Source organism: Homo sapiens, chromosome 15 (assembly GCF_000001405.40).
Source record: "Homo sapiens chromosome 15, GRCh38.p14 Primary Assembly".
In the NCBI taxonomy this organism is placed as follows: domain Eukaryota; kingdom Metazoa; phylum Chordata; class Mammalia; order Primates; family Hominidae; genus Homo; species Homo sapiens.
Genome location: NC_000015.10, coordinates 90,505,447 through 90,530,741, shown reverse-complemented (window position 1 = coordinate 90,530,741; position 25,295 = coordinate 90,505,447). Strand labels below are relative to the sequence as shown.

The 25,295-nt window shown below is 46.6% G+C and overlaps 1 protein-coding gene across 2 annotated transcripts in view, besides 6 other annotated features; it reads right to left on the bottom strand.

The window, feature by feature from the left end:
• The window catches only part of CRTC3 (CREB regulated transcription coactivator 3), a 115,423-nt gene extending 114,604 nt beyond the window's left edge, over positions 1-819 (bottom strand). For both annotated transcript variants that reach the window (NM_022769.5, NM_001042574.3), the window contains exon 1: positions 539-819. In NM_022769.5, coding sequence (NP_073606.3) covers positions 539-670 — 132 coding nt within the window. In that variant the 5' untranslated portion in view covers positions 671-819. The remainder of the gene's footprint in view (positions 1-538) is intronic.
• Positions 266-445: a silencer, noted in NCBI's record as "silent region_6823". NCBI's record gives its function as "represses an Ori minimal core promoter by ATAC-STARR-seq in GM12878 lymphoblastoid cells {active_cell/tissue: GM12878}" and the evidence as "EXISTENCE:reporter gene assay evidence [ECO:0000049][PMID:35858748]".
• Positions 466-1,215: a silencer, noted in NCBI's record as "silent region_6822". NCBI's record gives its function as "represses an Ori minimal core promoter by ATAC-STARR-seq in GM12878 lymphoblastoid cells {active_cell/tissue: GM12878}" and the evidence as "EXISTENCE:reporter gene assay evidence [ECO:0000049][PMID:35858748]".
• Positions 1,316-1,365: a silencer, noted in NCBI's record as "silent region_6821". NCBI's record gives its function as "represses an Ori minimal core promoter by ATAC-STARR-seq in GM12878 lymphoblastoid cells {active_cell/tissue: GM12878}" and the evidence as "EXISTENCE:reporter gene assay evidence [ECO:0000049][PMID:35858748]".
• Positions 17,019-17,219: a silencer, noted in NCBI's record as "peak2422 fragment used in MPRA reporter construct". NCBI's record gives its function as "represses an SCP1 promoter by STARR-seq MPRAs in K562 erythroleukemia cells {active_cell/tissue: K562}" and the evidence as "EXISTENCE:reporter gene assay evidence [ECO:0000049][PMID:32103011]".
• Positions 18,239-18,439: a silencer, noted in NCBI's record as "peak2421 fragment used in MPRA reporter construct". NCBI's record gives its function as "represses an SCP1 promoter by STARR-seq MPRAs in K562 erythroleukemia cells {active_cell/tissue: K562}" and the evidence as "EXISTENCE:reporter gene assay evidence [ECO:0000049][PMID:32103011]".
• Positions 19,242-19,741: an enhancer, noted in NCBI's record as "H3K27ac hESC enhancer chr15:91054233-91054732 (GRCh37/hg19 assembly coordinates)". NCBI's record gives its function as "activates a minimal SCP1, AML or CMV promoter by ChIP-STARR-seq in naive H9 embryonic stem cells {active_cell/tissue: H9 hESC(naive)}" and the evidence as "EXISTENCE:reporter gene assay evidence [ECO:0000049][PMID:30033119]".

Here is a 25,295-nt window from a genome sequence, read left to right as displayed (position 1 = left end):
CACGGAATCCCGTCGTGGTTCCAACAACCCGAGCCACCCCAGGGCCGGGCCCTGGATGGACTTGTGCACAGAGCTCCCCCCACGAGCGCGTGGGACCCTGGGGTGCCCGCGGCCTTCCACGCCGGCAGAACAGCAGGGCTCGATGGTGGGGGATGTTCGGAGCGACCAGAAGCCGCGCCGCGCCACCCGGCCGGCCTCCGAGCTGTTTGCGATTTCCTCTCGGGGCTCCTCGTCCTCCTCCCCCTCAGGCCGCCCTCGCACGGCCGCCCGCCTCCACGGGCTTCACCCCTGCCCATCTTCCCGCACACGGGGCCGGGCGACCCTCCCACCTCAGCCCGGGATCGCGAACGGCTAGCGGGTGTCGCCAGGCGGGGAAACGCCGAGGCCGCGGCCGCTCCGGTCCCCCTCCCAGCCGCCGGTTCCCGGGCGCGGCCCCCGCCCGGCCCCGCCATCGCCTTGGCCCCGCAACCTCTCACCCGCCGCGCGGGTCCCGCCCGCGGCCGTGGCCGCCCCCGCCCGCGCCGGCCCGGGCCCTCACCCGCGACAGGGTGAGGTCGGTCATGAGCTGCTCGAAGGCCCGCGTCTCCTCGGCCTGTCTCTGCGTGTGCAGCGCGATCTTCTCACTGAACTTCCGCGGGTTGGCGCTGCCCGAGCCCGGCGAGGCGGCCATGGCGCGGACTCTGCGCGGGCAGAAGCGGGAGACGGCGGCCGTGGGGCCTGTACCTCGGCCCACCCGTCCGTCCACAGGCCGCCGGGGCCGCCGCCCGAAGCCAGTCGTCCGGCGCGACCCGGCAGAGGAGCCGCCGCGGCCCCGGAGCCAGCGAGCGGCCGGGAGCGCGCCGAGGTCCGCCCCCGTGCGCCCGGCCCCGCCCCACCCTCGGCGGGGCCCGCCCGGCCTCCAGTCTGCCCCGGCCCCACGCTCGCGGGCTGAGGGCTGCTCCCCGCTTCCCGGTCTGGCTCGGGACCCGCCGCCGGCGGCCACCTGGAGGGACCCCCGTCAGCCCGACAAAGTGGCCCCGGCGTACGGGGAACGCTGGGGTGCCACTCCACGGAGACTCTCCGACCCAGGGATGGCCTCTGCGTCTACGCGACGTGGAGAACACAGCCTGTGCCCGCATCCCCCCTCCCCCAGCCAAATTACGAAGATTTTCTTCTCCAGGTGGAACCTGGGCGACCGGACCTCGAGCAGGTCACCTCGGGCCCCCGCAGGGGGTGCGCCCATTTTGCCTGGGGCCTAACGTCTGCCCGCCAGCCCTGCCGCTCCAGGCCCCCGGCCTCCAGCCGCTGGTTTCCTGACCTCTCACACCCACCCCTCCCCGCTCCAGTCAACCAGAGCTGTATCTCGGCTTTAAAAACTGCCTCCTATTCTGCACAAACTACAAACACCATCCAGCCCTGCTGCAGCCTTGGCTCCATAGCCCCGGCCCCCTTTCCAGGTTCTTTCCAAGTCTCCCTACGGCCTCTCCACTCCTGTGGCAGCTTCAGCAGGTGCCAGCCCCACCTTGGGAAACCAGCGCTCAGCCTCAGCGAATTTCCCCTTCTTTTGGGGGAGTGAATGGATGTCTTTCTCTGTCGCCCGGTCTGGAGTGTAGTGGTGCGATCTCGACTCACCGCGGCCTTGACCTCCCGGGCTCAAAAGATCCTCCCACCTCAGCCTCCCGACCAGCTGGGACCACAGGCGGGGGTCACCACGCCCGGCTAGTTTGTAAATGTTTTTGTAGCAATGGGGGGCGGGGGTGGGTCTCGCTATTTTGCCCAGGCTGGTCTCGAACGCCTGGGCTCAAGCGATCTGCCCACCTCAGCCTCCCAAAGTGCTGGGATAACAGGCGTGGGCCACAGTGCCCGGGGAGTTTCCTCTTTGGAGTCCAGAAGCTACTCTCAGCATAAATGTTGATGTGCACAAAGATGTCCCGGGGAGCCCTGAGCGTGTGTCAGTGTTCTGTAAAGAGGGAAATATTAGAGGCCTACGGAAGAGTACGGAAAATAATATTAATACTACCCACGCCCCCCACTATCAAGATTAAACAGACATCAATACATTTTGCTGCATGTACTTGGGATTTATTAAAGACATACAAAATTAGTCATAACGACGGCCCCACTCTCATTTCTTCTTCCGCCCCACAGATAGTCACCGTGCTCAAGTTGGTACATATCATTCCAGTTTGTGTTTTTATACTTTTATTACATATGATGTAGAGATCCAGCAATGCTATATGGAATACCTAATTTTGTTTTTAAACTTTACAAAAATGACACCATACTGAATAATCATTTTGCATCTTTTTTCATTCTCCATTATGTTTTCGAGATATATTTGTGTCAATTCATTTATATGATAATATTCCATTATGTTTTTCACCTGTCTCTCAGACATAGCCTATAACTGGACTTTTTAGAAAATGTATTCTGAAAATATATCTCTGTTAGCTAGAATTTAGCTATTTTTATTAATTATAATTGGATTTTTTTTTCTGTTGTATTTTGTGTTATTTACCATGCTTTTTTTTTGTTGTTGGTTTGTTTTTGAGACGGAGTCTTGCTCTGTTACCCAGGCTGGAGTGCAGTGGCCTGATCTCAGCTCACTGCAAACTCTGCCTCTTGAGTTCAAGTGATTCTTGTGCCTCAGCCTCCCGAGTAACTGGGATTACAGGCTTGCGCCACCATGCCCGGCTAGTTTTTTTTTTTTTTTTTAAGACAGAGTCGCGCTCTGTCGCCCAGGCTGGAGTGCAGTGGTGCAATCTCGGCTCACTGCAATCTCTGCCTCCTGGGTTCAAGCTATTCTCCTGCCTCAGCCTCCTGAGTAGCTGGGATTACAGGTACACGCCACCACGCAGGCTAATTTTTTGTATTTTTTGTAGAGACGAGGTTTCACCATGTTGGTCAGGCTGGTCTCAAACTGCTGATCACAGGTGATCCACCTGTCTCGGCTTCCCAAAATGCTGGGATTGCAGGCGTGAGCCACCGCGCCTAGCATTTTTCTTTACATTTTATTTCTGCTTTTCTGTTACATTGTTTGGGTCAAGTTTCAGAGAACAGAACCATTCTAGATGGTTTAAGTACAAAAGAATATATTACAGGGTATAAAATGACTTCCAGACTTGTTTGGAGGGCTGAAGCAACCGACTCCAGGTTGAACTTTGAGGAATGACTTTGAGAGCTATGCTGCAATACTGAGCCACCAAAGGAGACACTGCCTCTTTTGAAATCAGGAAGCCATCTACTAAATTGGAAAGCTGTCTCTACACTTACCAGCTCTTGAACCATACAGGTATCATCATGATGAGAAGCCACTGCAGAAATATCAAGCATCGGCCAGGTGCAGTGGCTCACGCCTGTAATCCCAGCATTTTGGGAGGCCAAGGCGGGCAGATCGCCTGAGGTCAGGAGTTTGAGACCACCCTGACCAATATGGTGAAACCCTGTCTCTACTAAAAATACAAAAATTAGCCAGGTGTGGTGGCATGTGCCTGTAGTCCCAGCTACTCAGGAGGCTGAGGCAGGAGAATTGCTTAAATCCAGGAGGGGGAGGTTGCAGTCAGCCAAGATCACACCACTGCACTCCAGCCTGGGCCACAGAGGGAGACTCCGTCTCAAAAAAAAAAAAAAAAAAAAAAAAAAAGGCCAGGCTCAGTGGCTCACACCTGTAATCCCAGCACTTTGGGAGGCCGAGGTGTGGGTGGATCACCTGAGGTCAGGAGTTTGAGACCAGTCTGACCAACAAGGTGAAACCCGGTCTCTACTAAAAATATAAAAATTAGCAGGGCGTGGTGGCAGGCGCCTATAGTCCCAGCTACTCAGGAGGCTGAGACAGGAGAATTGCTTGAACCCAGGAGCAGAGGTTGCTGTGAGCCAAGATCACCCGACTGCACTCCAGCCTGGGCGACGAAGCGAGACTCCGTCTCAAAAAAAAAAAAAAAAAATCAAACACCTCCACCACAGCACTCCCCAGCATAAATAGCACACACAGACTTCACTTCACCTCCACCTTATACATCTCATGAGAGGAAATGATTGGAAAAACCAAAATTGTGTCCAAAATCCCTGCCACAAGGTCATCTAGGAAATGTAGATTCGACCTTTCAGCTTGTGCAATGTAGGGAGGACTGTAGAAAGATATTGAGATGAAAGGCTGGGTGCGGTGGTCGTGCCTGTAATCCCAGCACTTTGGGAGGCCAAGGCGGGCAGATCATGAGGTCAGGAGATCGAGACCATCCTGGCTAACACGGTGAAACCCCGTCTCTACTAAAAATACAAAAAAAATTAGCGGGGCGTGGTGGTGGCGGGCACCTGTAGTCCCAGCTACTCGGGAGGCAGAGGCAGGAGAATGGCGTGAGCCCGAGAGGCGGAGCTTGCAGTGAGCCGAGATCGCGCCACTGCACTCCAGCCTGGGTGACAGAGGGAGACTCCGTCTCACAAAAACAAATATATATATATATATATAGAGATGAGATGAGTATTAAGCTAAATCTACCATTATCTGTCCACCAATTCACCAGCATAGGCACCTGTCATAGCTGCACTCTGGTTCCATGTTTCTGGAATCTGATTTGGAGTATATTCATTCTACTTCTGTTCTTATTTGATTAACTTAATCATATTACATTTGGTTTTTTTTTTTTAGAGACAGGGTCTCACTGTGTTGCCCAGGCTGGACCTGAACTCGTGGGCTCAAGCCATCCTCCTGCCTCAGTTTCCTGAGAAGCTGGGATAATTTTCTAATCAAAAAATGTGAATTATTTAAGAAGTGAAATTTATAGGCTTACAATCGTAAAAAGATTTCTCAAGTCCTTTTTTTTTTTTTTTTTTTTTTTTTGAGACAGGGTCTCTTGCTCTGTTACCCAGGCTGGAGTGCAGTGAATGGAAAGATCAGGGCTCACTGCAGCCTCAGACACTCTCACCTCAGCGCCTCCTCAGTAGCTGGGACTACAGGTGCGTGGCACCATCCCTGGCTTGTTGTTTTTTTTTTTTAATTTTAGTAGAGACAAGGTCTTCCTATGTTGCTCAGGCTAGTCTTGAATTCCTGGGCTCAAGTGATCCCCCAAACTCAGCCTCCCAAAGTGCTGGGATTACAGGGATGAGCCACCATACATGGCCCCCAAGTCCTACTTTAAATGAAGTTAATCCTGCTGTTTTATGATATTTTAAAATTTTAGATAGTTAACTGTTCATTTTCTACCATAGAAAATGATGATTTGGCCATTTTATGCCCCAACAAAAATATAATTTTCCCTGACCTCATTCTTTCAATGTAGTTATGTGATCATTCTTGGTAAATCAATATTAAGTGGTTTTTAAATTATTATTGTTATTATTTTGAGACAGGGTCTCACTCTGTCACCCAGGCTGTAGTACAGTGGCATGATCTTGGCTCACTGCAGCTCCGACCTTCTGGGCTCAAGCAATCCTCCCACCTCAGCCTCCTAAGTAGCTGGGACTACAGGCACGCACCACCACACCTGGCTAAGTTTCTTCAGTTTTTGTAGTGATGAAGTCTTACCATGTTGCCCAGGCTGGTCTCGAACCCCTGGGCTCAAGGGATCCTCCCGCCTCGGCCTCCCAAAGTGCTGGGATTACAGGTATGAGCCACTGTGCTTGGCAATATTAAGCGTTCACATAGTGTAGCATAGTTCTATTTTGGTACAAATTTCTTTTTGGAGTTAAAAATTGCCTCTGTTATTGATTTGCTTAGATTTCTCTCAAGCCATTATTCATCCTTTCCCAAACTCCGACAGAGCTATGAAACATATGACTGAATCTATGAATGACTGGTTTTGGGGGAAGCTTCTTTTCTGGAGCGCTGTGCCCTCTGGCTGCATCCTGGGCTGTTCCCCAGCCTGCAGCACTGCTGTGGTGCAGTCCCCCTCACCATCACCCCAAGCTTCCCTCCGCCTCCTGTGTTCTCACCTCCGCTTCCCGGATCCCAGGTTGTCGTCTTGCCATGTGTACACCTTCACTTTGGTGGAGTACATTCTCCAATAGTTTCCTGGAGAGAAAAAGGGTACGTGAAAGATAAAATCTCTGAGACTGTGTGTGAAGATGGTTTTATTTTACCCTCCTGTTTGATTATTAGCTTGGCTAAGAGTAGGGCTTCTCTGGAAATGCTTTTCATTTAGATCTTTGAATGCATTGGGTCACTGTTTTCTCACTTTCAGTGTTGCTACTGAGAAGGCCACTCACATTCGGTTTCCTTTTCCTTTGTAGGTGACCTGTTTTTTTGTTTGTTTGTTTTTGGTTTTTTTTTTTTTGGTTTATTGTTTTTTGTTTTTGAGATGGAGTCTTGCTCTGTCACCTAGGCTGGAGTGCAGTGGCGCAATCTCAGCTCACTGCAACCTCTGCCTCTTGGGTTCAAGCGGTTCTCCTGCCTCAGCCTCCTGAGTACCTGGGATTACAGGCACGCACCACCATGCCTGGCTAACTTTTTTTGTATTTTTAGTGGAGACAGGGTTTCACCATGTTGCCCAGGCTGGTCTCAAACTCCTGGGCTCATGCGATTCACCCTCCTCAGCCTCTGAAAGTGCTGGGATTACAGGCATGAGTCACAGCACCTGGCATCTTTCTGGAACTTTTGTTAGTTAATGGGCCTCCTAGATTGCTCTTCTAATTTTCTTATCTTTTGTCTCCTATTTTCTATTTACTTGTCTTTTGTTATTTTCCTATTTCCTGATATATTTTCTCAGCTTCATTTTCCAATCCTTCTGTTAAACTTTTATTTCTACCATTATCTTTTTTTTTTTTTTTGAGATGGAGTTTCACTCTTCTCGCCCAGGCTGTAGTGCAATGGTGCCATCTCAGCTCACTGCAACCTCTGCCTCCCGAGTTCAAGCAATTCTCCTGCCTCAGCCTCCATAGTAGCTGGGATTACAGGTGCCTGCTACCACGCCCAGCTAATTTTTTTGTATTTTTAGTAGAGACAGGGTTTCACCATGCTGGCCAGGCTGATCTCGAACTCCTGACCTCAAGTGATCCTCCCACCTCGGCCTCCCGAAGTGCTGGGATTACAAGAGCAAGCCACCGTGCCCAGCCTCTACCATTATCTTTCAATTGAAAAGATTAAGGCTGAGCAAGGTAGTGAGACTTCATCTCTATGGAAAAAAAAAAAAGTTAGTCTGCCATGGTGGTATGTGACTGTAGTCACAGCAACTCAGGAGTCTGAGGTGGGAGGATCCCTTGAGTCTGGGAGGTTGAGGTTGCAGTGAGCTGTAATTCTGTCACTGCACTCCAGCCTGGGTGACAGAGCAAGACCCTGTCTCAAAAAAAAAAAAAAAAAAGGATTAATAAGAACTCTCTGTGTTTCCCTAAAATTTCTTTTTTGAATAGCATTCTGTACTCATTTCATGGATGTGATATTAATTTTAGGTTACTTCTGTTTTTACTTTTTTTCTACTTTTTACATTGTCACCTTTTGTTTTGTCTGAATTCATTTTTATTTGTTTGTTCATTTTGATCTTCCTCTGCAGGCTTTCCTCAAACCTCTGGTGATCTTTGACTCTCCATTAGTCAGAGACACTAAATATGTATAGATTGTTTCTGGAAATAAAAGATTTTAAAATATATATGTGTATCTGGCCAGGTGCAGTGGCTCATGCCTGTAATCCCAGCACTTTGGGAGGCCGAGGTGGGTGGATCACTTGAGGTCAGGAGTTCAAGACGAGCCTGGCCGACGTGACAAAACCCTCTCTCTATTAAAAATACAAAAATTAGCCGGGCCTGGTGGCGAGCAGCTGTAGTCCCAGCTACTCAGGAAGCTGAGGCAGGAGAATCGCTTGAATCCTGGAGGAGGAGGTTGCAATGAGTCATGGTTGTGCCACTGCACTCCAACCTGGGCGACAGAGCAGGACTCCATCTCAAATATATGTGTGTGTGTGTGTGTGTGTGTGTGTGTGTGTGTGCTCTGTTTTGTAGCAAAGATCACTGATTGTCTCCCAATATTCATTCTCCCCTTCTTCCTTTTTTTTTTTTGAGACGGATTCTTGCTCTGTCACCCAGGCTGGAGTGCAGTGGCACGATCTTGGCTCACTGCAACCTCTGCCTCCTCAGTTCAAGCGATTCTTCTTCCTCAGCCTCCCTAGTAGCTGGGATTACAGGTGTGCACCACCACACCCAGCCAATTTTTTGTATTTTCAGTAGAGACGGGGTTTCACCATGTTGGCCAGGCTGGTCTCGAACTTCTGACCTCAGGTGATCCACCAGCTTCGGCCTCCCAAAGTGCTGGGATTACAGGTGTGAGCCACTGCACCCGGCCCCTTCTTCCTTTTTTAAAAGAAATCCTGAGCTTTAGCTGAGCACATCTAGGCCCAACTAAAGCCAGCTGAAGACTACATTTCCCATCCTCCCTTGCAAATAGCTATGGTCATGCGACTATGTTCTGCCCAATGGGGTGTGAGCAGAAGTAATATGGACAACTCTGGGATTCTGTCCTTATATGAAAGAAAAAATGGCCTTCTTTTTTCTCTTCTGTCTTCTCACTGACTGCCATGTGGATATTGTGACAGGATTGGGAGCAGCAGCTGGGCACAGTGGCTCACGCCTGTAATCCCAGCACTTTGGGAGACTGAGGCAGGAGGATCACTTGAGCCCAGGAGTTCGGGACCATCCTGGGCAACAAAGAGAGACCCCATCTTTACAAAATAAAAATTAGCCAGGGGTGGTGGCACATACCTGTAGTCCCAGCTACCCAGGAGGCTGGTTTTGGTGAAGACGGTTTTATTTTACCCTCCTATTTGATTGTTAGTTTGGCTAAGAAGAGAGCCTCCCTGGAAATGCTTTCCATTTAGATCTTTGAATGCATTGCTTTGCTGTTTGTGCAATGATGATGGTTTGAGCCTAGGAGTTTGAGGCTGCAGTGAGTTATGATTGTGCCGCTGTATTCTAGCCTGGGTGACAGAGCAAGACCCCATCTCTAAAGACTGACAGACAGAGCAGCCATCTTAGACCATGAGATGAAAACTATGTGTTGAGAATGCCAGCACAATGGTAGCAAAGTAGCCTGGGTCCCCAGCACTGGGGAACCACAATATTAGCTCTGGGCTGCCTCTGGACTGTTACGTGACTGAGAGATAAGCATCAATTTTGTTTAAAGCCCTGTTATTTTAGCCTTTGTTACAGGAACTTAACTCGGACCCATTATACTTAAATAGAAAAATTGTTATAAACATATCAAGATGTGGCTCACAATAGTTGCCTTTGGGAACGTAGGGACTCCTGGGCAACTTTTATCTTCTATTTTATACATTTCTAAATTATTTGCTTTTTTTTTTTTTTTTTTTTGAGGTGGAGTCTCGCTCCGTTACCCAGGATGGAGTGCAGTGGCGTGATCTCAGCTTACCACAACCTCCACCTCCCAGGTTCAAGCGATTCTCCTGCCTCAGCCTCTCGAGCAGCTGGGACCACCGGCGCGTGCCACCATGCCCGGCTAATTTTTGTATTTTTAGTAGAGATGGGTTTCCACCATGTTGGCCAGGCTGGTCTTGAACTCCTGACCTCATGATCTGCCTGCTCTGGCCTCACAAAGTGCTGGGATTACAGGCATGAGCCACTGCGCCCAGCCCTATTTGCACCGTATGTCCCCCAAATATCGGTATCTCTAGGGTTTGGTCTGGGTTTTCTTTTGTTTATATGTGGGTTTTTCTGTTTATTTTTCTCTCAGACAGGTCAATTTTCTTCTGCCTGAAGAATCGTCCATTCTTCTGTCCAGGTATGTAAGCCTGGCTGCTAGTGTTCTGGGAGCTAAATGGGAAGAGAGAAAAGAGAAGCTGCAGGTCTCAGTGTTTGATGTGTAGACTTTCTCTTAATCCCCCTGTTTTCAGATGGTACCTCCATCCCAGCTTTTGCCCTGTCTCACCCTAAGTGCAGAATCTTTCTGGCTCAATTGCCCCAGAGTTCACATCTTGTGTACAGTTAGGGAGAGGAGAAGTAGTCACCTAGCTTTGAGCAGTTGGGGAGTGGATCTGGGCATCTAACTGTTCCTTGCACAGTTTCCATCAATCTTTGTGCTTTCAGCCCTGTCGCTCCCCTCTTTTGGTGCCTCTGGTCCTTCTGAAGTTCTCGAGTGGAAATCAGCTTGCTTCTTATTAGCTTTTCCCCTTCACTTTGGTTCTCAGGCACTTTGGTGTCAGCTTGCTATGTTCTGCTTTGTTGATTACCATTGATCCTTGTGTGGCGGGCCATGGCTAGGCCTGCCCCTGGAAAGCCCCTACCTGGACAGAAGTTAAAAGTCAAGGCAGGCCGGGCACAGTGGCTCAAGCCTATAATCTCAGCACTTTGGGACGCTGAGGCAGGAGGATCACTTGAGGCCAGGAGTTTGAAACCAGCCTGGACCTAGCAAGACCCCATTTCTACAAAATAAAAAATAAACATAATTAGCTGAGTGTGGTGGTGCATGTCTATAGTGCCAGCTACTCGGGGGCTGAGGATGGAGGATTATTGAGCCCAGGAGTTCAAGGTTGCAGTGAACCATGTTCAGGTTCACATTTAACCATTTTTTCTTCTTCACAGACTGTTTTCCCATCTGAAAATTCTATTTAATTCCTTTTCAAATCCGCCTCCTTTTTATTTAGAATGCTTCTCTGTTCTTATTTTTTAATTCTTTTATGCTTTTAGTTATACTAATTTTTATAATTTTCTCTCAGCATCTAGTTCTATTATCTCAGGATTTGGGAGCTCTAAACCTATTTGTTGTATCTGCTGGCTGTTGCTTCTGGTGGATTGTTTTCTAATGTTTTTAACTATGCTTCTATCTTTAAGGGGGCTTAAATTTTTTTTCCTGTGAGAATCCTGGGTAGTAGGAATATGACTCAAGTATAGTTTTGTTTCTGTTTCGTGAGTCACAGGATATCAGTTACTAGACAAAGGAATTTTATTACATGGATCCTATAAATTCATACCTAAAAACCCATTTTTTTAAAAGGTGGAGTCTGTCTGTCACCCAGGCTGGAATGCAGTGGTGTGAACATGGCTCACTGCAGCCTCAACCTTCTGGGATCAAGCAATCCTCCCACCTCAGCCTCCCAAGTAGGTGGGGGCACAGACATGTACCACCACTCTCAATTCATTTATTTTTATTTTTTGTAAAGACAGGATCGTGCCATGCTGCCCAGGCTGGTCTTGAACTCCTGGGCTCAAGCAGTCCCCCCACCTCAGCTTCCCAAAGTGTTGAGATTACAGGTGTGAGCCACCATACACAGCAGATTTTTGATTTCTCAAAGGGCTTTTTATTTTTTTCCCTCCCACAGCCCAGCCAGAGACAGTCAAGCTCCCATGTTAACTTTGCCAGTGGATAGATTTTACCTTTTCGGATCTGGAATTTTACTCTACTTACAAACTAATACATTACCTGTTACTTTTTTTTTTTTTTTTTAGATAGCTATGTCTCTTGCTGTATCACCCAGGCTGAAGTGCAGTGGCACAATGATGGCTCATTGCAGCCTCAACCTCCCAGGCACAACTGATCCTTCCACCTCAGCCTCCCAAGTAGCTGGGACTAGAGGTGCACACCACCATGCCTGGCTAATTTTTGTAGCTTTTTGTAGAGATGGGGTTTCACATGTCACCCAGGCTGGTCTTGAACTCCTGGGCTCAAGCAATCAGCCCCCTCTCAGCCTCCCAAAGTGCTGGGATTATAGGTGTGAGCCACAGCACTTAGCCTACACCTGTTCCTATTTTCATGGATGACTGCAGGAGGCATGATATTCCTGGGTCGGAGACAAAGACTTTATTACTCACTACAAAGTAGCATGAGGATCATTTTTGTGTCAATTCCTCTTGCCCACCAAGTCCCACAGAAATGATACAGATGGATGCCTACACATACAATGGGTTCTGTTCTGTTATGGGAGAGGAATAACCTACTTTTTGTCCCAGAAGAAGACATAACCTCATTACCCAAAGTTGCTCACTGCAAACACAACTCTGATAAATGGCCCAGTGAAGTGTGATCAGAGCTTTGCATTTGTGGATAACTAGCAAGAATGCCCAGGAATTCTCAAGGCCCATAGAGGATTGCCTCCCCAAACACACATTTTCCTTGAGTATAACCTTTTGAGGGTCCTGGCTTGGGTTCCAGGTCTAACTCCCTGACTCATGCAAGTCCATCATCTCCTTTTACCAAGTGGGTGTCAAAAACTGAACTCCAACTGTCACAGCAAAGAGGGGCCTAAGATGACATGATGACTAAATGTAATGTATCCTGAGTGGGATCCTAGAAGAGAAAAAGGTAAAAACTAGGGAAATCTGGACAACGCATGGATTTTAGTCCATTTAAAATGAGCAAACAAGCAAAAACCTAAAGTTCCCGGGTTGTTGGATAGATAACCATATATTTACCATTTGATTTTCAGTCACTTGAGGGTTTCCTTGTGAACTCAACTATGCAGTTTTTTTTTCTTTTGAGACAGAGTTTCACTTTTGTCACCCAGGCTAGAGTACAGTGGCGTGATCTCAGCTCAATGCAACCTCCGCCTCCCAAGTTCAAGTGATTCTCCTGCCTCAGCCTCCCAAGTAGCGGGGATTACAGGCACCCACCGCCACGCCCAGCTAGGTTTTGCTTTTTAGTAGAGACAGGGTTTCACCATGTTGGCCAGGCTGGTCTCAAACTCCTGACCTCAGGTGATCCACCTGCCTCAGCCTCCCAAAGTGCTGGGATTACAGGCGTGAGCCACCACGCCCAGCCTCAACTGTGCATTTCTATTGTGTTGGAACCAGCATTATGTTGGATCCGCATTTCTAGGTGTTTCCTTTTACCTTGGTCTATGACCTTGTTGGAATACAGGTGTTTGTTTAAATTTTGTATTCCTACTTCCCAAACCCAAAGACCGTGATTTACTGATCTAGGGCACAGGATTGTGCCTTTATCACAAATGATTCTGATATAGGTGGTCTATGGGTCAAACATTAGGAAATACTGCTGTTAAGAATGGTATCAGTCAGGCGTGATGGCCCATACCTATAATCTCAACACTTTGGGAGGCCAAGGTGGGTGGATCAACTGAGGTCGGGAGTTTGAGACCAGCCTGACCAACATGGAGAAACTCTGTCTCTACTAAAAATAAATAAAACAAATTAGCCAGCCGTCGTGGTGCATGCCTGTAATCCTAGCTACTCCAGAGGCTGAGGCAGGAGAATCGCTTGAACCTGGGAGGCAGAGGTTGTGGTGAGCCCAGATCATGCCATTGCATTCCAACCTGGGCAACAAGAGCGAGACTCCGTCTCAAAAAAAAAAAAAAAAAAAAAAGGAATCATAGAGGATGGGTGCAGTGGCTCACACCTGTAATCCAAGCTGAGAGGGGTGGATCAACTGAGGTCAGGAGTTTGAGACCAGCCTGGCCAACATGGTGAAACCCCATCTCTACTAAAAATACAAAAATTAGCCAGGCGAGGTGGTGGGCGCCTGTAATCCGAGCTACTTGGGAGGCTGAGGCACGAGAATTGTTTGAACCCTGGAGGCAGAAGTTGCAGTGAGCGGAGATCACGCCACTGCACTCCAGCCTGGGCAACAGAGTGATACTCTGTCTCAAAAAAAAAAAAAAAAAGAAAGAAAAAAGAATGGAATCACAGACTGGGTTAAATAACTAATATGGCCTGTACTTTTGAAATTGAAAATAATCAGCTTCTTGATATGCAAATACTCCCTGTAATCTGTTGCAGCCACCATAAAGACAGACACCACTTCTCAGCCTCACCTCACAGAGTAGGTAGTGTGACCAGCATAGTTATTGAGACTTAGGGGAAAGCCCATTGGAAAGCTTCTAGGAAACTTTTGGTTTTCAGATAAAAGGAGCATATCCGGCCGGGCGTGGTGGCTCACGCCTGTAATCCCAGCACTTTGGGAGGCTGAGGCAGGCAGATCACAAGGTCAGGAGATCGAGACCATTCTGGCTAACATGGTGAAACCCAGTCTCTACTAAAAAATACAAAAAATTAGCCGGACATGGTGGCAGGTGCCTGTAGTCCCAGCTATTCGGGAGGCTGAGGCAGGAGAATGGCATGAACCCGGAAGGCGGAGCTTACAGTGAGCTGAGATCGCGCCACTGCACTCCAGCCTGGGTGACAGAATGAGGCTCCATCTCAAAAAAAAACAAAACAAAACAAAAAAAAGGAACATATCCAGCTGCAACCAGCCCCTTTCTGCTTTCTATCTTGAATGCAAATATGATGCCTGGAGCAATGGAGCCACCTTGCAACCATGAAAAGAGAGAGCATAAAAACATTCAATATTCAGAATGATAGAAAACAAGCTCGATCAGTGTTCACATTTTGAGTAGCTAAATCAACTTGTAACTGTTTTCTTGTAAACTTATTATGTAAAATAAAGGTAACCCTGTTTGTTTAAACTGCTGAGTTTTCCTTTTCTTCTTTCCTTCCTTCCTTCTCTTTCTCTCTCTCTCCCCCACCCCCCTCCCTTTCTCCCCTTCCTCCTTCCTTTCTTCCTTCCTTTTTCTTTCTTTCTGATAGATCTTACTACGTAGCCCAGGCTGGAGAGCAGTGGCTATCCACAGGCACGATCATAGTGCACCACAGCCTTGAACTCCTGGGCTCAAGCAATTGTTCTGCCTCAGCCTCCCAAGTAGCTGGTGTGCATGACCACGCCCCACTGGTTTTTGCATTTCTTGTAGCCAAACTATTCCTGATATGGTTAGGTAAAGATCCTCATTTCTTTTAAAAACTTTTTATTTGGCTGGGCGCAGTCGTTCATGCTTGTAATCCCAGCTCTTTGGGAGGCTGAAGCCGGCAGATCACTTGAGGTCAGGAGATCGACACCAGACTGGCCAACATGATGAAACTCCGTCTCTACTAAAAATACAAAAATAAGCCGGGCTTGGTGGCAGGTGCCTGTAATTCCAGCTACTCGGGAGGCTGAGGCAGGAGAATCACTTGAACCCGGCAGGCAGAGGTTGCAGGGAGCCGAGATTATGCCACTGCACTCCAGCCTGGATGACAGAGCGAGACTCCGTCTCAAAACAAAAACAAAATCAAAAACAAAACTTTTTATTTTTGTGTAATTTCAGACTTAAAGAAAAGTTGCAATAACACAAAGAATTCCTATATACTCTTTACCCAGGTCCTCCAAATGTTAACATTTTACTGTACTAGTTTCATCATTTCTCTCTCTATATGTTCATTTTTTTCTAAACCATTTAAGAGTAAGTTGATACGATGCTCCTTTACTCCTAAATACTTTATTTCATAAAAACAAGAATATTCTCTTACATAATCACAGCATAATTATCAAAGTCAGGAAATTATTAACATTGTATAATACTATTATCTAATTTATAGATATTATTAAAATTTTGGCTCAGTGTCTCAATTCCCAATAATATTCTTTTTTTTTTTTTTTTTTTTTTTGTCTTGAGACGGAGTCTCCGTCACCCAGGCTGGAGTGCAGTGGCACAATCTCAGCTCACTGCAACCTTTGCCTCCTGGATTCAAACAATTCTCCTGCCTCAGCCTCCCGAGTAGCTGGGATTACAGGTGACTGCCACCATGCCCAACTGATTTTTGTATTTTTAGTAGAGACGGGGTGTCACCATGTTGACCAGGCTGGTTTCAAACCCCTAACCTCAAGTGATCTGCCATCCTCAGCCTCCGAAAGTGCTGGGATTACAGGCGTGAGCCACTGTGCCCCACCCCAATAATATTCTTTATGGCAAACGACACTCTAGGACAACTCATCATATTCAGGTATCATGTCTCTTTAGGATACTTTAATCTGGAACAGTTGTTCAGTCTATTTGTCTTTTATGACCAAAAATTTCTGAAGTGACAGGTCAGTTATTTTGTAGAATATTCCTTAATTAGGGTTTGTCTTATGTTTGTTCATGATTCTTTTCAGATTATGCACTTTTGGCAGGAATCACACAGGAGCAACGCTGTGTTCTCACTTTAGCCATATCAGGAGGGACACGATGTCAAGGTGTCCCATTACTGATATTAAACTTGGATCATTTGGTTAAGGTGATGTCTGCCAGGTTTCTCCAATATAGAATTTCTTTCTTTTTTTTTTTTTTTTTTTGAGACAGAGTCTTGGTCTGTCTGTTGCCCAGGCTGGAGCACAGTGGCATGATCTTGGCTCACTGCAACCTCCACCTTCCGGGTTCAAGCAATTCTCCTGCCTCAGCCTCTTGAGTAGCTGGGAATATAGGTGCGTGTCATCACGCCTGGCCAATTTTTTTGTATTTTTAGTAGAGACAGGGTTTCACCGTCTTGGCCAGGCTGGTCTTGAACTCCTGACCTCGTGACCCACCTACCTCGGCCTCTCAAAGTGCTAGGATTAGAGGTGTGAGCCCCCACACCCGGCCCACTATAAAATTTCTATTATTTCTTTTTGTAATCAGTAAGTATCTCGAAGGGGGATAATCTGAGATGATATAAACATCCTGTTATTCGGGCTGAGGCAGGAGGATTGTTTGAGCTCAGCAGTTCAAGACCAGGCTGGGCAAGATGGCAAAACCCCATCTCTACAAAAAATACAAAAATTAGCCAGGCACGGTGGCGTGTGCCTGTGGTCCCAGCTACTGAAGAGGCTGAGGTGGGAGGATTGCTTGAGCCTGGGAGGTGGAGGTTATAGTGAGGTGAGATCACACCACTGCACTCCAGCCTGGGTGACAGAGCTAGATCCTGTCTCAAAAATAAATAAATAAATAAATAAATAAATAAATAAATAAATAAAATTTAAAAATCCTGTTATTCCACAAGCTTGTACCCACTAGTTTTAGTATGCATTGATAATTATTGCCCCTTTCCCATTTATTTGTTTATATCAGAATGGACTCATGAATTCTAATTTTAATGGGTTATAATTCATTACTGGTTGGGGTTCAGTCAGGCTGGTGGGAAAAATTTTAGTTATAATAGCCACAAACCCTCTTGGAAGGCCTGAGAGTTTGCATAATTGTGGTAATAGATCTGGCTGAAGGCAGCCTAGTCCCTTTACCTTTAAATAGATTAAAGTAGATACAAAGAAATGTGGGGGAGTTTATCTAAACTAGCTTGTTTACTCATGTGGTCCTAAGACTAACCTTTGATCTACTGTGGGTGCTTAATTGCTTTCTACTCAGGAGGTTGGCAATGTCAATTACCCTCTAGCTGTGTTGACTCAAGCCTTTGTCAATTAATCTTTACTGAACAAATGTGAGTCTCCCTGGATGGTGGAGGCCACGGCTGCTACTCTTTATAGCACTCTTCTTGGAGTCTGTAAGTGGCCCAGATGCTCAGCTGGACTGGCAAAGCAGAATATCTGTGTCAGTGTACTTTATTCATCTGTTGTTGGGTCTGCGGGACAGACCCCTGCAACTACTGTTATTATTTTAGTACTTAAAATTATCCCAGATTTACTGTCTGCATCCTTTTACCATGTTTCCATTTTTTTTAGTATTTCTTCCTGTCTAGGCACCCAATATTTTAGGCTCATGTTGTACTTTGTCTGCTTGGCCCCAGAATCAGCCATTTCTCCATGGAGCCCTGGTTCCTTTTAGTGGAGAAGGGTGTTTGGACACTGGTTCTCCTTTTTTTCTGGGAGCTAGTTCTGAGTTAGCTTTTTTTTTTTGCTTTGCTTTTTTTTTTTTCTGAGGCGGAGTCTCACTGTCACCCAGGCTGGAGTGCAGTGGCTTGGTCTCGGCTCACTGCAATCTCTCCCTCCCAGGTTCAAGTGATTCTCCTGCCTCAGCCTACGGAGTAGCTAGAACTACAGGCATGCACTGCCACACCAAGCTAAGTTTTTGTATTTTTAGTACAGACAGGGTTTCATTATGTTGGCCAGGCTGGTCTCAAACCCCTGACCTCAGGTGATCCACCTGCCTTGACGTCCCAAAGTGCTGGGATTACAGGTGTGAGCCACCGTGCCTGGCCTCTGAGTTAGCATTAAACAGGAGGAGTTTGACTTTAATTCTCATCACATCATTTTTTCTGTCATGTGCCTTTTCAGCTCCCACCATAAAGGTCTCTGTACCTCCGTCCCCATAGGCATTGGGAATATTTTTCTCCAGAAACAAAAGCCAGTGGCTATGAGCAACTATCATAAGTTTATCAAGTGCACATTCTTATACATCACATCAAAATTATTTTCTAGACAAGTGGGGACAAAATTTACACAGAACAAGTATCTGCAATTTAAGAACAAAAGTTTTAAACAAACTTACCAAAATAGAAATGTAGAATGGAGTCCAAAATTCTTTGACAAATGTGGCATACAAATGCACATTTTTGCTTTTCTGTTTCCTAGGTAATATTTACCATTTGTTGAAAGCTTAAAGTCGGGTTCTGTTCTAGCTTCCTCTTTTCTCCAGGATTTCGAAGAATGTGTTCCATGGAACATGAGTTTCACTGATGGCTAATAGGAGCTTTCTAAAGGGTAAGAGGGAGGGGATTGTGTGGTCAGATACATTTGGGGAAAGCTATGCTACACAAAGCTAAGCAAGTTTCTTGACTGTAGAACTTCTCAGAGCTTTTTTTTTTTTTTTTTTTTGGACAGAGTCTCACTCTGTCGCCCAGGCTGGAGTGCAATGGCACGATCTTGGCTCACTGCAACATCTGCCTCCTGAGTTCAAGAGATTCTCCTACCTCAGCCTCCTGAGTAGCTTAGACTACAGGCACGTGCTACCATGCCCAGCTAATTTTTTGTATTTTTAGTAGAGCCAAGGTCTCACCATGTTGGCCAAGCTGTTCTCAAACTCTTGACCTCAGGTGATCCACTTGCCTCAGCCTCCCAAAGTGTTGGAATTACAGGCGTGAGCCACCATACCCAGCCCTAAGGGCTTTTACATATGTGTTGTGACTTCCAAATATGACAGAATACAACATTTCCCAAACTTCCTTGATCACAGAATACTTCTTCAGGAGTACTTGCCAGCCCTATGCCCCACTATTCCTTCCCCTAATGTTCAGTGAATCCATTCTACTTCCTAAATACCTCTAGAATTCTCCCACCACCTCTTCCATCCTAACAACCACTGTCTAATTCAGGCCACCAAATCCCTCACTAATTGAGGCCTTAATTGGTCCTCTTGTGTCAGGAATTGGTAGGTTCTTGGTCTCACTAACTTCAAGAATGAAGCCGCAGACCCTTGCGGTGAGTGTTACAGCTCTTAAAGTGGCGCGTCTGGAGTTTGTTCTTTCTGATGTTCGGATGTGTTTGGAGTTTCTTCCTTCTGGTGGGTTCGTGGTCTCGCTGGCTTAGGAGTGAAGCTGCAGACCTTCACGGTGAGTGTTACAGCTCTTAAGGTGGCGCATCTGGAGTTGTTCGTTCCTCCTGGTGGGCTCGTGGTCTCGCTGTCTTCAGGAGTGAAGCTGCAGACCTTCGCGGTGAGTGTTACAGCTCATAAAAGCAGTGGGGACCCAAACAGCAAAAGAACAAAGCTTCCACAGTGCGGAAGGAGACCCGAGAGGGTTGCCACTGCTGGCTCCGGCAGCCTGCTTTTATTCTCTTATCTGGCCCCACCCACATCCTGTTGATTGGTAGAGCCCAGTGGTCTGTTTTGCCAGGGCGCTGATTGGTGAGTTTACAATCCCTGAGCTAGACACAAAGGTTCTCCACGTCCCCACTAGATTAGCTAGATACAGAGTGTCTACACGAAGGTTCTCCACGTCCCCACCAGAGTAGCTAGAAACAGAGTGTCGATTGGTGTATTCACAAAGCTGCTGGCCCAGGTTCTAAGCCCCTCACTGCCCGGGGCGGTGGGGCCAGCCGGCCGCTCCAAGCGCAGGGTCCGCGGAGCCCACGCCCACCCGGAACTCACGCTGGCCGGCAAGCACCGCGCGCAGTCCCGGTTCCCGCCAGCGCCTCTACCTCCACACCTCGCCACAAGCTGAGGGAGCCGGCTCCGGCCTTGGCCAGCCCAGAAAGGGGCTCCCACAGTGCAGCGGCAGGCTGAAGGGCTCCTCAAGTGCCGCCAAAGTGGGAGCCCAGGCAGAGGAGGCGCCGAGAGCGAGCAAGGGCTGTGAGGACTGCCAGCACGCTGTCACCTCTCACTCTTGTGTATCAGTCAGGGACCCAGCAGAATACAGGTGGCATAATCCAATTGAGTAATTTGAAGAGAAGTTAATAAAGAGACAGGGCGGGGTTTAGCGATATGGCAGGACCCCCTGAGGCTAGTTACAGCAGGAATCATTAGCTTTCTAGGCCTGAAGGGAATTGGGTGTGGGATTGCTTACTGCAGTGGGGAGAGGTGGTTGTCTGAAGGGAGCTGCCTGACAGGAGCTCTGGTCTTTGGTAGAGAGAGGCAGCTGATTCCTAGTGACCTGGCAGAATTGCTTTCTTCCAGACCTCCGGTCTCCTGGTAGTGCTTCCTGTTGGCCAAACCCACGCAGAAGCTGGAGAGAGACAGCGATGCCGTCCATGTGGCCAGCTTCCCAGGGCACAGGGGAGGGTGAGGGGTGGAGAATGGATCTCAACGAACAAAAAGGAGATATCCAGCACAACCTCGCACCTAGCCTCCCCGCCCTCATCCATCCTGCACATCTCTGACCTCTTCTTGCTCTTCTTCAAATCCATCAATTGCCCCCCTGCCCCACGTCCTTGGAATAAAATTTGGTACTCGGCCAGGCGCGGTGGCTCATGCCTGTAATCTCAGCACTTTGAAAGGCCAAGGCTGGTGGATCACCTGAGTTCAGGAGTTCGAGACCAGCCTGGCCAACATGGTGAAACCCAGTCTCTACTAGAAATACAATAATTAGCTTGGTGTGGTGGCAGTCACCTGTAATTCCAGCTACTCAGGAGGCTGAGGCAGGAGAATCTGTTGAACCTGGGAGGCGGAGGTTGCAGTGAGCCAAGATTGCGCCACTGCACTCCAGCCTGGGTGACAACAGCAAAACTCCATCTCAAAAAAAAAAAAAAAAAAAATTGATACTAGCTCATGGGAGCTGATTGCAAGCGTCTCTTCTCAGCTCTACTTTCTGTGACCAACAACATCAAGTTGGTAGCTTGAAATCAGCTTTGGGGAAGTATTCATACCACAGAATTGGCAAATGCTACTACTCAAGGCACTTTTTCCTTTCACTGAGCTCACATACATTAGGTAAAAGTATTTTATATTAAAAAATTGTTTTGTCATAAACTCACGAAGTGTTTTTCTCTTTTAAAAATTTTCCATTGAAAAAGCTTAGGCTGGATGTGGTGGCTCATGCCTGTAATCCCAGAACTTTAGGAGGCCGAGGAGGGCGGATCACCTGAGGTGGGGAGTTCGAGACCAGCCTGACCAACATGGAGAAACCCCCATCTCTACTAAAAAAAAAAAAAAAAATTAGCCGGCCGTGATGGCGCATGTCTGTAATCCCAGCTACTCGGGATTGCTTGAACCCGGGAGGTGGAGGTTGCTGTGAGTCGAGATCGTGCCATTGCACTCCAGCTGTGGGCAACAAGAGTGAAACTCTGTCTCAAAAATAAATAAATAAATAAATAAATAAATAAATAAAAATTTAAAAAAAGAAGAAAAAGCTAGAGGCCAGGTGCAGTGGCTCACGGCTATAATCCCAGCAATCCCAAGATCATCTGAGGTCAGGAGTTTGAGACCAGCCTGGCCAACATGGTGAAACCCCATCTCTACTAAAAATACAAAATTAGCTGGGCTTGGTGGCACATGCCTGTATCCCAGTTACTCGGGTGGCTGAGGCAGGAGAAATCACCTGAACTTGGGAGGCAGAGGTTGCAGTGAGCTGAGATCGTGCCATTGTACTCCAGCCTGGAAGACAGAGTGAGACTCCATCTCAAGAAAAAAAAGAATTTTTATGAATATGTATATCGATATACATACAGTGGATTGAAAGACATGGAATATATTAAAAAGCCAGGGGTTCATTATGATTTTTGAAAAACAAAGGCTCCCTGGTCATTTAGAGCCCACTAGGGAAGCAGCTTATTCTGAAAACTAGTAAACAAAGGGAGAGAATCAAGCACTCATCATCTGTTCCTGAATGAATGTTCTACAAGGCAACAAAATAGTTGAAGAGAGGAAGTTTTTTTTTTTTTAAGGAGAATTCTGTTAAATAAAGAAGGAATGATATTAATAGCATATCACCATTTTGCAACCCCCAATGAAATAAGAGGCTGGGCATGGTGGTTCACGCCTGTAATCCCAGGACCTTGGGAGGCCAAGGCAGGAGGACCACTTGAGCACAGGAGTCTGAGACTAGCCTGGGCAACATAGTGAGACTTCGTCTCTAAAAAAAGTGAAAAAATACTAAAAAAAATAGGCCAGGTGCAGTGGCTTATGCCTGTAATCCCAGCACTTTGGGAGGCTAAGTCGGGCGGATCATGAGGTCAAGAGATTGAAACCATCCTGGCCAATGTGGTGAAACCCTGTTTCTAATAAAAATACAAAAAATTAGCTGGGCATGGTGGCACGTGCCTGTAGTTCCAGCTACTCAGGAGGCTGAGGCAGGAGGATCACTTGAACCTGCCTCTTAGCTGAGCTCATGCCACTGCACTCCAGCCTGGCAACAGAGCAAGACTTTGTCTCAAAAAAAAAAAAAAAAAAAAAAAAGTAAAATAAATAAATAAATAAATGTAGGCAGCCATTACCAGTGGCTGCTGAATCCATGTGATACGTGGTGAAAGCCGATGGGAAATTATAATGAATGGGTCAAGCTGGCAACATCTGAATCCAAAGATCAGCCTTTACATCATAAAAACATAAGCCCTGACATGATGTAATAGGAAAACCAAAGTATTCTTGCCACAAGATTGAAACTGAGTCTGATCCACAGGATGACATGAGAAACCCAGAATGTGATTCTACAGGATTAGCATCAAATACATTGCAAGGAAAAAAAAAAAAAAGGCTGGGTGCGGTGGCTCACTCCCATAAACCCAACACTTTGGGAGGCTGAGGCAGGGAGATCACTTGAGGTCAGGAGTTTGAGATCAGCCTGGACAACTTAGTGAAACCCCATATCTACTAAAAAATACAAAAATTAGCTGGACATGGCGGCACATGCCTGTATCCCAGCTACTGAGGAGTCTGAGGCAGAGAAACTGCTTGAACCCAAGAGGTGGAAGTAGCAGTGGGCCAAGATCACGCCACTGAACTCCAGCCTGGGTGACAGAACGATACCCTGTCTCTAGAAAAAAAAAAAAAAAAAAAGGACACAATGACCAATCTAACGGTGAGGAACACCCCTAGCACCCACCCAGACTGCATCCTTGAAATACCATTACCCGCTAACAGTAACCAGGGCTCCACAGAAAAATGGTGGATTCCAGGTCTGGGGCTGAGAAATGCAATAAGATGAGCCTGGAACGTCTTATGCTAGAAATCAAGGAAACTATCAAAGATTACTAGGGTCACGTCAAAAGTACTCAACAGTCACTGTGAAGGAAATTTATTGGTCAAAGAGGGGACAATTTGAGCATTCAAAAAATTATATATGGCCGGGCGTGGTGGCTCACACCTGTAAAATCCCAGCACTTTGGGAGGCCGAGGCAGGCGGATCATTTGAGGTCAGGAATTTGAGACCAGCTTGGCCAATATGGCAAAACCCCGTCTGTACTAAAAATAATAAAAAATTAGCCGGGTGTGGTGGCAGTCACCTGTAATCCCAGGTACTCGGGAGGCTGAGGCAGGAGAATCACTTGAACCTGGGAGGCTGAGGTTGCAGTGAGCTGAGATCAAGCCACTGCCCTCCAGCCTGGGCAACAGAGTGAGATTCTGTCTCAAAAAAAAAAAGAAAAGGAAAAGATATTTAAGAGACCTATCAACTAAATGTAATGCATGGATCTTGTCTGGCACCTGATTCAAAAATACAAACTGAACAATGATAAGATGAATGGGGAAATTTAAACGGTGATATTTTAAAATTTAAAAATTTAAATTAAAAATGTAAATGGTGATATTTAAACGGTGTGATATTTTAAAATAATTTGATATTTTAAAATAATTTGTTAGGTGTGATGATGGGATGGGGATTTTTTTTAAGTCCTTATCTGTAAGAGCAGCGTCTCACCCCAGGCATTATTAATATTTGAGGCTGGATCATTCTTGGTTGCAGTGGGCTGTCCTGTTGCACTGAAAGATGTCAAGTGGCATCCCTCACCTCTACCCACTAGATGCCAGTAGCACCTCTTTCGTCAGGCCAATTAAAAATATTTCCAAACAGCCAAATATCTTCTGTGATTAAAAAAAAAAAAAACTGTGTTAGAGACATGTACTGCAGTATTTATGGTTGAAATGATACTATACCTGGGTTTTGTCAAAGTAACCCAAGAGGGTTTGGGCAGAGGTACAGGTGAAATAAGCTTAACTGTGTGTTGATAATTGCTGGGCTGCATGATGGACACATGGGTGCTCATTACATTATTCCCCGTTTATATGTTGAAAGTTCCCTGCAATAAAAGTTAAAAAATTATAGTACCAAAGGAGTATTAAAATATTTCTGTTTTCCCAAGCGTATTAACATATTGGATTAAATAAGCTATCTTTAAGTTAAAGAGTTATGAGTATAGGCTGGCGCCGCGGCTCATGCCTGTAATCCCAGCACTTTGGGAGGCCGAGGCGGGCAGATCACGAGGTCAGGAGATAGAGACCATCCTGGCCAACATGGTGAAACACCATCTCTACTAAAAATACAAAAATTAGCTGGGCGTGGTGGCGGGCATCTGTAATCCCAGCAACTCTGGAGGCTGAGGCAGGAGAATGGCTTGAACCCGGGAGGCAGACATTGCAGTGAGCCGAGATCACGCCACTGCACTCCCGCCTGGCGACAGAGCGAGACTCCATCTCAAAAAAAAAAAAAAGAAAAAAAGAGTTATAATTGGGTTACTTTAAAAGTCTTGGTAAATCCCCTTGTCTACTTCCCAAGTCCTGAGAAAGTGAATAATGTTTGCATGCATAATAAATTCTCCAAATTAGGTAATTATCTTTTTTTAACTTTTGCTTTCAACAAAGTTGGAGAACCTATTCATGTTATAACTTATTATAAATCATTGAGTCTTTTGGATTAGTTACTAAGGAGTCCTGAGAAATGTGTGACACTGCTGTAATGAAACACCCCAATGTTTCTCGGAGCTTACAGTTATAAAAATGAAAAATAGAAATAGAATTGGTCATGAGCCCCATCTCATTCTAGCAAGAATATTTGTCTACCATGTTTTTAAACTTTCATTTTAAAAGACTTTCATTTATCTCATCAATAAATGCATTTCATTAGATACCAATGACAAAATAAAAAAATGCATTTCAAATATCTTTTAGAATTGTCAAGATAAAATATTACATTACTGGGCCGGGTGCGGTGGCTCACACCTGTAATCACAGCACTTTGGGAGGCCGAGGTGGGCGGATCACGAGGTCAGGAGTTCGAGACCA